Raw genomic sequence first — 10,929 nt, 5'->3', positions numbered from 1 at the left:
GAATTCTTCAATCTAGAGTTACATGAAGAAATCCCGTTTCCAAAGAAGGCCTCCAATAGGTCCAAATATCCACTTGCAGCTACTACAAGAAGGGTGTTTCAGAAACGCTCTATCAAAAGAAACGTTACACTCTGTGAGTTGAACGCACACATCACTCAGCACTTTCTGAGAATGATTCTATCTACTTTTTACATGAAGATGTTTCCTTTTCTGGCAGAGACTTCAAAGTGCTCTAAATATCCACTTGGGAATTCTACAAAAACGGTGTTTCAAAACTGCTCTATCAAAGGAAATGTTCCATTCTGTGAGTCGAGTGCACACATCCGAAGAAGTTACTGAGAATTCTTCTCTGTAGGTTTAGATGGAGAAATCCCGTTTCCAATGAAGACCTCTAGGAGGTCCAATTATCCACTTGCAGATTCTACAGAAAGAGTGTTTCAAAACTGCTCTATCAAGAGAAATGGTCCACCGTGTGTGTGGAATGCAGCCATCACACATTAGTTTCTGAGATTGCTACTCTCTTGGTTTTATGGGGAGATATTTCCATTTCTAGCATAGGCTTCAAGGCGCTCTAAATATCTGCTTGGAAATACTACAAAAACAGTGTTTCAAAACTGCTGTATCCAAAGGAAGGTGCCACTCGCTGAGTTGAATGCACACATCACAAAGAAGTTTCTGAGAATTCTTCTGTCTAGATTTATACGAAGAAATCCCGTTTCCAACGAAGGCCTCAAAGAAGTCCAAATATCCCATTGCAAATTCTACAAAAGGAGTGTTTCCCAACTGCTCTGTCAAGAGGAATGTTGCACTCTGTGACTTGAATGCAAACATCACATAGTAGTGTTTGAGAATTCTTCTATCTAGAGTAACATGAAGAAATCCCGTTTCCAACGAAGGCCTCAAGGCGGTCCAATTATCCACTTGCAGATTCTACAGAAAGAGTGTTTCAAAACTGCTCTATCAAGAGAAATGTTCCACCGTGTGTGTGGAATGCAGCCATCACACAGTAGTTTCTGAGATTGCTTCCGTCTAGGTTTTATGGGAAGATATTTCCTTTTCTACCATAGGCTTCAAGGCGCTCTAATATCCGCTTGGAAATACTACAACCACAGCGTTTCAAACTGCTCTATCCAAAGGAAGGTTCCACTCTGTGACTTGAGTGCACACAACCAAAGAAATTTCGGAGAATTCTTCTGTCTAGATTTATACGAAGAAATCCCGTTTCCAACGAAGACCCAAAGGAGGTCCAAATATCCACTTGCAGATCCTTCAGAAAGAGGGTTTCAAAACTGCTCTATCAAGAGAAATGTTCAACTCTGTGAGTTGAATGCAGACATCACAAAGTCGTTTCTGAGATTGGTTCTGTCTAGGTTTTATGAGAAGATATTTCCTTTTCTACCATACGCTTCAAGGCGTTCCAAATATCCGCTTGGAAATACTACAAAAACAGTGTTTCAAAACTGCTCTATCAAAAGGAAGGATCCACACTGTGAGTTGAATTCACACATCACAAAGAAGTCTCTGAGAATTCTTCTGTCTGGGTTTATAGGAAGAAATCCCGTTTCCAACGAAGGCCTCAAAGAGGTCCAAATATCCACTTGCAGATTCTACAGAAACAATGTTTCCAAACTGCTCTATCAAGAGGAATGTTGCACTCGGTGAGTTGAATGCACACATCACAAAGCAGTTTCTGAGATTGCTTCTGTCTACCTTTTATGGAAAGATATTCCCTTTTCTACCATAGGCCTGAAAGCACTCTCAGGGTACCCTTGCAAATTCTACAAAAAGAGTGTTTCCAAATTGCTCTATCAAGAGAAATCTTTATCTCGGTGAGTTGAAAGCACACATCACAAAGAAGACTCTGAGAATTCTTCTGTCTGGGTTTATAAGATGAAAACCCGTTTCCAACGAAGGCCTCAAGGTGGTCCAAATACAAACAAGCTGATTCTACAGAAAGAGCGTTTCCAAACTGCTCTATCAAGAGGAATGTTCCACTCGGTGAGTTGAATGCAGACATCACAAAGGAGTTTCTGAGATTGCTTCTGTCTAGCTTTTATGCAAAGATATTTCCTTTTCTACCATAGAACTCAAAGCGCTCTTAGTATACACTTCCAAATTCTACAAAGACAGTGTTACTAAACTGCTCTATCAAAGGAAATGTTAAACTCTGTGAGTTGAACACAGACATCACAAAGCAGTTTCTGAGAACACTTCTGTCTGCCTTTTACGTGAAGACATTCCCTTTTCCAAAGAATGCCTCCAAGGGCTCAAAATATCCACTTGTAGACTTTACAAAGAGAGTGTTTCAAAACTTCTCTACCAAAAGAAAGTTTAAAGACGGTGAGTTCAACGCACACATCACAAAGTTGTTTCTGAGAATGATTCTATCTATGTTTTCCATGAAGATGTTTCCTTTTCTATCATAGGCTTCAAAGTGGTCTAAATATCCACTTGGAAATCCTACAAGAACAGGGTTTCAAAACTTCTCTATCAAACGGAAGACTCCACTCTGTGAGATGAACGCACACATCACAATGAGGTTTCTGAAAATTCTTCTGTCTAGGGTTATAGGAAGAAATCCCGTTTCCAACGAGGGCCTCAAAGAGGTCCAAATATCCACCTGCAGTTTCTACAAAAAGAGTGTTTCAACACTGCTCTATAAAGAGGAAAGTTCCACTCTGTGAGTTGAATGTACACATCACAAAGTAGTTTCTGAGATTGCTTCTGTCTAGGTTTTAGGTGAAGTTATTTCCTTTTCTACTGTGGGCTTCAATGCGCTCTAAATATACACATGCAAATATTACAAAAAGAGTGTTTCAAAACTGCTCTATCAAAAGAAAAGTTTTACTCTATGAGTTGAACGCACACATCACAAAGCAGATTCTGAGAATTATTCTGTCTAGTTTTTATAGGAAGATGTTTCTTTTTCTGCCGTAGGCTCAATGCGCTATAAATATCCCCTTGGAAATCCTACAAAAACAGTGTTTCCAAACTGCTCTGTGAAAAGGGAGGTTTCACTCTTTGAATTGAATGCACACATCACAAAGGAGTTTCTGAGAATTCTTCAATCTAGAGTTACATGAAGAAATCCCGTTTCCAAAGAAGGCCTCCAATAGGTCCAAATATCCACTTGCAGCTACTACAAGAAGGGTGTTTCAGAAACGCTCTATCAAAAGAAACGTTACACTCTGTGAGTTGAACGCACACGTCACTAAGCACTTTCTGAGAACGATTCTATCTACTTTTTACATGAAGATGTTTCCTTTTCTAGCAGAGACTTCAAAGTGCTCTAAATATCCACTTGGGAATTCTACAAAAACGGTGTCTCAAAACTGCTCTATCAAAGGGAATGTTCCATTCTGTGAGTCGAATGCACACATCCGATGAAGTTACTGAGAATTCTTCTCTGTAGGTTTAGATGGAGAAATCCCGTTTCCAACGAAGGCCTCTAGGAGGTCCAATTATCCACTTGCAGATTCTACAGAAAGAGTGTTTCAAAACTGCTCTATCAAGAGAAATGGTCCACCGTGTGTGTGGAATGCAGCCATCACACATTAGTTTCTGAGATTGCTTCTGTCTTGGTTTTATGGGGAGATATTTCCATTTCTAGCATAGGCTTCAAGGCGCTCTAAATATCCGCTTGGAAATACTACAAAAACAGTGTTTCAAAACTGCTGTATCCAAAGGAAGGTGCCACTCGCTGAGTTGAATGCACACATCACAAAGAAGTTTCTGAGAATTCTTCTGTCTAGATTTATACGAAGAAATCCCGTTTCCAACGAAGGCCTCAAAGAAGTCCAAATATCCCATTGCAAATTCTACAAAAGGAGTGTTTCCCAACTGCTCTGTCAAGAGGAATGTTGCACTCTGTGACTTGAATGCAAACATCACATAGCAGTGTTTGAGAATTCTTCTATCTAGAGTAACATGAAGAAATCCCGTTTCCAACGAAGGCCTCAATTGGTCTATAGATCCACGTGCTTCTTCTACGAAAAGAGGGTTCCAGAAATGTTCTATCAAAAGAAACGTTAAACTCTGTGAGTTGAACGCACACATCACAAGCAGTTTCTGAGAACGATTCTATCGAGTTTTTACATGAAGATGTTTCCTTTTCTAGCAGAGTCTTCAAAGTGCTCTAAATATCCACTTGGGAATTCTACAAAAACAGTGTTTCAAAACTGCTCTATCAAAGGGAATGTTCCACTCTGTGAGTCGAATGCACACATCGGAGTAAGTTACTGTGAATTCTTCTCTGCAGGTTTATATGAAGAAATCCCGTTTCCAACGAAGACTTCAAGGAGTTCCAAATACCCACTCGCAGGTCCTACAGAAAGAGGGTTTCAAAACTGCTCTATCAAGAGGAATGTTCCACTCTGTGAGTTGAATGCAGACATCACATAGTAGTTTCTGAGATTGCTTCTGTCTAGGTTTTATGGGAAGATATTTCCTTTTCTACCATAGGCTTCAAGGCGCTCCAAATATCCCCTTGGAAATACTATAAAAACAGTGTTTGAAAACTGCTCTATCAAAAGGAAGGATCCACTCTGTGAGTTGAATTCACACATCACAAAGAAGTCTCTGAGATTTCTTCTGTCTGGGTTTATAAGAAGAAATCCCGTTTCCAACGAAGGCCTCAAAGTGTTCCAAATATCCACTTGCAGATTCTACAGAAACAGTGTTTCCAAACTACTCTATCAAGAGCAATGTTCCACTCGGTGACTTGAATGCAGACATCACAAAGGAGTTTCTGAGATTGCTTCTGTCTAGCTTTTATGGAAAGATATTTCCTTTTCTACCGTGGGCTTCAAGGCGCTCCAAATATCCGCTTCGAAATACTAAAAAAACAGTGTTTCAAAACTGCTCTATCAAAAGGAAGGATCCACTCTGTGAGTTGAATTCACAAATCACAAAGTAGTCTCTGAGACTTCTTCTGTCTGGGTTTATAGGAAGAATTCCCTTTTCCAACCAAGGCCTCAAAGAGATCCAAATATCCACTTGCAGATTCTACAGAAACAGTGTTTCGAAACTGCTCTATCAAGAGGAATATTCCACTCAGTGACTTGAATGCAGACATCACAAAGGAGTTTCTGAGATTGCTTCTGTCTAGCTTTTATGGAAAGATAATTCCTTTTGTACCATAGGACTGAATGCGCTCTAAATGTACCCTTGCAAATTCTACAAAAGAGTGTTTGGAAACTGCTCAATCAAAAGAAATGTTTAACTCGGTGAGTTGAATGCACGCATCACAACGAAGTTTCTGAGAATTCTTCTGTATGGGTTTATATGAAAAAAATCCCCTTTCCAAGGAAGGCCTCAAGGAGGTCCAAATATCCACTAGCATATTCTACAGAAAGATTGTTTCCAAACTGCTCTATCAAGAGGAATGTTCCACTTGGTGTGTTGAATGCAGACATCACAAAGGAGTTTCTGAGATTTCTTCTCTCCAGCTTTTATGGAAAGATATTTACTTTTCTACCATAGGTCTCAAAGCGCTCTTAATATACACTTCCAAATTCTACAAAGAGTGTTTCTAAACTGTTATATCAAAGGAAATGTTAAACTCTGTGAGTTGAACGCAGACATCACAAAGCAGTTTCTGAGAACACTTCTGTCTGCCTTTTATGTGAAGACATTCCCTTTTCCAAAGAATGCCTCCAAGGGCTCAAAATATCCACTCCTAGAGTTTACAAAGAGAGTGTTTCAAAACTTCTCTACCAAAAGAAAGGATAAAGTCTGTGAGTTCAACGCACACATCACAAAGTTGTTTCTGAGAATGATTCTATCTATGTTTTCCATGAAGATGTTTCCTTTTCTATCATAGGCTTCAAAGTGGTCTAAATTTCCACTTGTAAATCCTACAAGAATAGGGATTCAAAAGTTCTCTAATAAAAGGAAGTCTCCACTCGGTGAGATGAACGCACACATCACAATGAGGTTTCAGAAAATTCTTCTGTCTGGGGATATGTGAAGAAATCCCATTTCCAACGAAGGCCTCAAAGAGGTCCAAATATCCACTGGCAGTTTCTACAAAAAGAGTGTTTCAACACTGCTCTATAAAGAGGAAAGTTCCACTCTGTGAGTTGAATGCACACATCCCAAATTAGTTTCTGAGATTGCTTCTGTCTAGGTTTTAGGTGAAGATATTTCCTTTTCTACCGTGGGCTTCAATGCGCTCTTAATATACACTTGCAAATACTGAAAAAAGAGTGTTTCAAAACTGCTCTATCCAAAGAAACGTTTTACTCTGTGTGTTGAACGCACACATCGCAAAGCAGATTCTGAGAATTATTCTGTCTAGTTTTTATATGAAGATGTTTCTTTTTCTACCGTAGGCTTCAGGGCGCTCTAAATATCCCCTTGGAAATCCTACAAAAACAGTGTTTCAAAACTGCTCTGTCAAAAGGAAGGTTTCACTCTGTGAGTTGAATGCACACATCACAAAGGAGTTTCTGAGAATTCTTCTATCTAGAGTTATATGAAGAAATCCCGTTTCCAACGAAGGCCTCAAATAGGTCCAAATATCCACTTGCAGCTTCTACAAGAAGAGTGTTTCAGTTTCTTAGAAAGCTTCTTTCCAGTATTTATGTGAAGATATTTACTTTTTCACCGTAGGACTCAATTGTCTCCCAAATATCGCTTTGCAGATTTTACAAAAAGGGTTTTCCAAACTGCTGAATGAAAAGAAAAGTTTAAATGTGCGAGATAAATGCACACATCACAAATCAGTTTCTCAGATTACTTCCATATAGTTTTTATCCTGGGATATTTGCTTTTCCTCCATTGATCTCAAAGAGCTCCAAAATGTTCATTCACAGAATGGAAAAAGCAGTGTTTAAAAACTGTTGAAACAAAAGAACGTTTTAACTCTGTGTGATGAAAGCAGACATCACAAAGCAGTTTCTCAGCAAGCTTCTGTCTAGTTATTAATTGAAGATATTTACTTTTTCACCGTAGGCCTCAATGCACTCCTAATTATCCCTTCACAGATTCTACAAAAACAGTGTTTCCAAAATGCTGAATGAAAAGAAAATTTTAACTCTGTGAGATGAATTCACACATCACATGAAGTTTTACATAAAGCTTCTTTCTAGTTTTTATATGAAGATATTTAGTGTTTCACTATAGACCTCAGTGGGCTCCCAAATATTCCTTTGAAAAATATACAAAACACTCTTTTCATACTGCTGTATATAAGGAAAGGTTTAACTCTATGAGAAAAATTCACACATCACAAAACAGTATCTCAGATATCTTCCTAGAAGTTTTTATCCTGGGATATTCCCTTTTTCTCCAATGGCCTCAATTAACTCCCAAATATCTATTCACAGAATGGAGAAAAACAATGTTTCAAAACTGTTGAATCAAAAGAAAGTTTTAATTCTGTGAGATGAATGCACACATCACAAAGTGGTTTCTCAGATAGCATCTTTCTAATATTTATCCTGGGATATTTGTTTTTTGCCAGTGGCCTCAATCAGCTACCAAATGCCCATTCACAGGATGGTCAAAAACAGTGTTTCAAAATTCCTGAATCCAAAGAAAGGTTTAAATCTGTGAGGTGAATGCACCCATCACAGAGCAGTTTCTCAAAAAGCTTCCTTCTACTTTTTATGTTAAGATATTTTCTTGTAAATTTGTTTAAGTTCATTGTAGATTCTGGATATTAGCCCTTTGTCAGATGAGTAGGTTGTGAAAATTTTCTCCCATTTTGTAGGTGGCCTGTTCACTCTGATGGTAGTTTCTTTTGTGGTACAGAAGCTCTTTAGTTTGATTAGATCCCATTTGTCAATTTTGGCTTTTGTTGCCATTGCTTTTGGTGTTTTAGACATGAAGTCCTTGCCCATGCCTATGTCCTGAATGGTATTGCCTAGGTTTTCTTCTAGGGTTTTTATGGTTTTAAGTCTAACGTTTAAGTGTTTAATCCATCTTGAATTGATTTTTGTATAAGTTGTAATGAAGGGACCCAGTTTCAGCTTTCTACATATGGCTAGCCAGTTTTCTGAGCACCATTTATGAAATAGGGAATCCTTTCCCCATTGCTTGTTTTTGTCAGGTTTGTCAAAGATCAGATAGTTGTAGATATGTGACGTTATTTCTGAGGGCTCTGTTCTGTTCCATTGATCTATATCTCTGTTTTGGTACCAGTACCATGCTGTTTTGGTTACTGTAGCTTTGTAGTATAGTTTGAAGTCAGGTAGTGTGATGCCTCCAGCTTTGTTCTTTTGGCTTAAGATTGTCTTGGCAATGCAGGCTCTTTTTTGGTTCCATATGAACTTTAAAATAGTTTTTTCCAATTCTGTGAAGAAAGGCATTGGCATCAAATTTACAAGAAAAAAAAACAACCCCATCAAAAAGTGGGTGAAGGACATGAACAGACACTTCTCAAAAGAAGACATTTATGCAGCCAAAAAACACATGAAAAAATGCTCATCATCACTGGCCATCAGAGAAATGCAAATCAAAACCACAATGAGATACCATCTCACACCAGTTAGAATGGCAATCATTAAAAAGTCAGGAAACAACAGGTGCTGGAGAGGATGTGGAGAAATAGGAACACTTTTACACTGTTGGTGGGACTGTAAACTAGTTCAACCACTGGGGAAGTCAGTGTGGTGATTCCTCAGGGATCTAGAACTAGAAATACCATTTGACCCAGCCATCCCATTACTGGGTATATACCCAAGGGACTATAAATCATGCTGCTATAAAGACACAAGTACATGTATGTTTATTGCGGCACTGTTCATGATAGCAAAGTCTTGGAACCAACCCAAATGTCCAACAATGATAGACTGGATTAAGAAAATGTGGCGCATGTACACCATGGAATACTATGCAGCCATCAAAAATGATGAGTTCATGTCCTTTGTAGGGACATGGGTGAAATTGGAAATCATCATTCTCAGTAAACTATGGCAAGAACAAAAAACCAAACACCACATATTCTCACTCATAGGTGGGAATTGAACAATGAGTTCACATGGACACAGGAAGGGGAACATCACACTCTGGGGACTGTTGTGGGGTTGGGGGAGGGGGGAGGGATAGCTTTGGGAGATATACCTCATGCTAGATGACGAGTTAGTGGGTGCAGCGCACCAGCATGGCATATGTATACATATGTAACTAACCTGCACAATGTGCACATGTACCCTAAAATTTAAAGTATAATAATAAAAAAAAAAAAGATATTTTCTTTTTCAACCATAGGTCTCAATGCACTCCCAAATATCCCCTCACTGATTCTACAAAAACAGTGTTTCCAAACAACTGAATGAAAAGTAAGGTTTAACTCTGTGACACGAATGCACCCATCACAAAGCTGCTTTTCAGATAGCTTCCTTGGAGTTTTTATCCTGTGATATTCCCTTTTTCTCCATTGGCCTCAATGAGCACCTAAATATCCATTCACCTAATGGACAAAAACATTGTTTCAAAACTGTTGAATCAAAAGAAAGGATTAATTCTGTGAGATGAAAGCACACATCACAAAGCAGTTTCCAGAAAGCTTCTCTCTACTTTTTGTTTGAAGATATTTTCTTTTACACCATAGTCCTCATTGCACTCTGAGTTATCCCTTAACAGATTCTACAAAAACAGTGTTTCCAAACTCCTGGACCAAGGAAAGGTTCAACACTGTGAGGTGAATGGACCCCTAAGAGAGCAGTTTCTCAGAAAGCTTCTGTCTACTTTTTAACTTCAGATTTTTTTTTCACTATAGGTTTCAATGCGCTCCAAATATCCCTTCACAGATTCTATAAAAACAGTGTTTCCAAACTGCTGAATGAACAGAAATGTGTAACAGTGTGAGATGAATGCACACCTCACCAAGCGGTTTCTCAGACCGCTTCTTTGTGGTTTTCATTCTGTGATATTCGCTTTTTCTGCATTGGCCTCAATGATCTCCCAAATGTCCATTTGTAGAATGGACAAGAACAGTGTTTCCAAACTGTTGAATCAAAAGGAAGTTTTAATTCTGTGAGTTGAATGCACACATCACAAACCAGCTTATCAGAAAGCTTGTTTATAGTTTTTATTTGAAGATATTTTCTTTTTCACCATAGGCCTCAAAGCACTTCAAAATATTCCTTAACAGATTCTACAAAAACAGTGTTTCCAAACTGTTGAAACAAAAGAAAGTTTTAACCCTGTGAGATGAAAGCACACGTCACAAAGCAGTTTCTCAGAAAGAATCTGTCTAGTTATTATTTGAAGATATTTCCTTTTTCACCATAGCCCTCAATATGCTCCAAAATATACCTTCACAGATTCTACAAAAGCAGTGTTTCCAAACTGCTGGAGCAAAAGAAAGGTTTAACTCTGTGAGGTGAATGCACCCATCACAGAGCAGTTTCTCAGAATCCTTCTTTCTACTTTTTATCTTTAGATATTTTCTTTTACATCATAGGCATCAATGTGCTCCAAAATATCTGTTCACAGATTCTACAAAAACAGTGGCTCCAAACTGCTGAATATAAGGAAAGGTTTAACTGTGCAAGATGAATGCACACATCACAAAGTGGTTTCTCAGATAGCTTCCTTGAAGTTTTTATCTTGGGATATTCTCTTTTTCTCCATTGGCCTCAATGAGCTCCCAAATTTCTATTTGCAGAATGGACAAAAACAGTGTTTCCTAACTGCTGAATGAGAAGAAACGCTTAACTCTGTGAGACAAAAGAACACATCACAGTTTCTCAGAAAGCTTCTTTCAAGTTTTTATATGAAGATATTTACTTTTTCACCGTAGGACCCAATGGGCTCTGAAATATCCCTTCGAAGTTTCTACAAAAATAGTGTTTAAAAACTGCTGAATCAAAAGAAGGTTTAACTCAGGGAGATAAATGCACACATCACAAAACTTTTCTCACATAGCTTCCTTGAAGTTTTTTTTCCTGAGATATTCCCTTTTTCTCCATTGGCCTCAAT

The 10,929-nt window shown here is 38.4% G+C and overlaps 9 annotated features.

The window, feature by feature from the left end:
* Window positions 383-939: an enhancer, noted in NCBI's record as "OCT4-NANOG-H3K27ac-H3K4me1 hESC enhancer chr6:58779228-58779784 (GRCh37/hg19 assembly coordinates)". NCBI's record gives its function as "activates a minimal SCP1, AML or CMV promoter by ChIP-STARR-seq in naive and primed H9 embryonic stem cells {active_cell/tissue: H9 hESC(naive and primed)}" and the evidence as "EXISTENCE:reporter gene assay evidence [ECO:0000049][PMID:30033119]".
* Window positions 940-1,495: an enhancer, noted in NCBI's record as "OCT4-NANOG-H3K27ac-H3K4me1 hESC enhancer chr6:58778672-58779227 (GRCh37/hg19 assembly coordinates)". NCBI's record gives its function as "activates a minimal SCP1, AML or CMV promoter by ChIP-STARR-seq in naive and primed H9 embryonic stem cells {active_cell/tissue: H9 hESC(naive and primed)}" and the evidence as "EXISTENCE:reporter gene assay evidence [ECO:0000049][PMID:30033119]".
* Window positions 1,496-2,052: an enhancer, noted in NCBI's record as "OCT4-NANOG-H3K27ac-H3K4me1 hESC enhancer chr6:58778115-58778671 (GRCh37/hg19 assembly coordinates)". NCBI's record gives its function as "activates a minimal SCP1, AML or CMV promoter by ChIP-STARR-seq in naive and primed H9 embryonic stem cells {active_cell/tissue: H9 hESC(naive and primed)}" and the evidence as "EXISTENCE:reporter gene assay evidence [ECO:0000049][PMID:30033119]".
* Window positions 2,053-2,608: an enhancer, noted in NCBI's record as "OCT4-NANOG-H3K27ac-H3K4me1 hESC enhancer chr6:58777559-58778114 (GRCh37/hg19 assembly coordinates)". NCBI's record gives its function as "activates a minimal SCP1, AML or CMV promoter by ChIP-STARR-seq in naive and primed H9 embryonic stem cells {active_cell/tissue: H9 hESC(naive and primed)}" and the evidence as "EXISTENCE:reporter gene assay evidence [ECO:0000049][PMID:30033119]".
* Window positions 2,609-3,164: an enhancer, noted in NCBI's record as "OCT4-NANOG-H3K27ac-H3K4me1 hESC enhancer chr6:58777003-58777558 (GRCh37/hg19 assembly coordinates)". NCBI's record gives its function as "activates a minimal SCP1, AML or CMV promoter by ChIP-STARR-seq in naive and primed H9 embryonic stem cells {active_cell/tissue: H9 hESC(naive and primed)}" and the evidence as "EXISTENCE:reporter gene assay evidence [ECO:0000049][PMID:30033119]".
* Window positions 3,165-3,720: an enhancer, noted in NCBI's record as "OCT4-NANOG-H3K27ac-H3K4me1 hESC enhancer chr6:58776447-58777002 (GRCh37/hg19 assembly coordinates)". NCBI's record gives its function as "activates a minimal SCP1, AML or CMV promoter by ChIP-STARR-seq in naive and primed H9 embryonic stem cells {active_cell/tissue: H9 hESC(naive and primed)}" and the evidence as "EXISTENCE:reporter gene assay evidence [ECO:0000049][PMID:30033119]".
* Window positions 3,721-4,278: an enhancer, noted in NCBI's record as "OCT4-NANOG-H3K27ac-H3K4me1 hESC enhancer chr6:58775889-58776446 (GRCh37/hg19 assembly coordinates)". NCBI's record gives its function as "activates a minimal SCP1, AML or CMV promoter by ChIP-STARR-seq in naive and primed H9 embryonic stem cells {active_cell/tissue: H9 hESC(naive and primed)}" and the evidence as "EXISTENCE:reporter gene assay evidence [ECO:0000049][PMID:30033119]".
* Window positions 5,070-5,826: an enhancer, noted in NCBI's record as "OCT4-NANOG-H3K27ac hESC enhancer chr6:58774341-58775097 (GRCh37/hg19 assembly coordinates)". NCBI's record gives its function as "activates a minimal SCP1, AML or CMV promoter by ChIP-STARR-seq in primed H9 embryonic stem cells {active_cell/tissue: H9 hESC(primed)}" and the evidence as "EXISTENCE:reporter gene assay evidence [ECO:0000049][PMID:30033119]".
* Window positions 5,827-6,584: an enhancer, noted in NCBI's record as "OCT4-NANOG-H3K27ac hESC enhancer chr6:58773583-58774340 (GRCh37/hg19 assembly coordinates)". NCBI's record gives its function as "activates a minimal SCP1, AML or CMV promoter by ChIP-STARR-seq in naive and primed H9 embryonic stem cells {active_cell/tissue: H9 hESC(naive and primed)}" and the evidence as "EXISTENCE:reporter gene assay evidence [ECO:0000049][PMID:30033119]".

This window comes from Homo sapiens, chromosome 6 (assembly GCF_000001405.40).
Source record: "Homo sapiens chromosome 6, GRCh38.p14 Primary Assembly".
Taxonomy (NCBI): domain Eukaryota; kingdom Metazoa; phylum Chordata; class Mammalia; order Primates; family Hominidae; genus Homo; species Homo sapiens.
The sequence above is the reverse complement of the archived record's forward strand: the minus strand, read 5'-3'. Positions and strand labels throughout refer to the sequence as shown.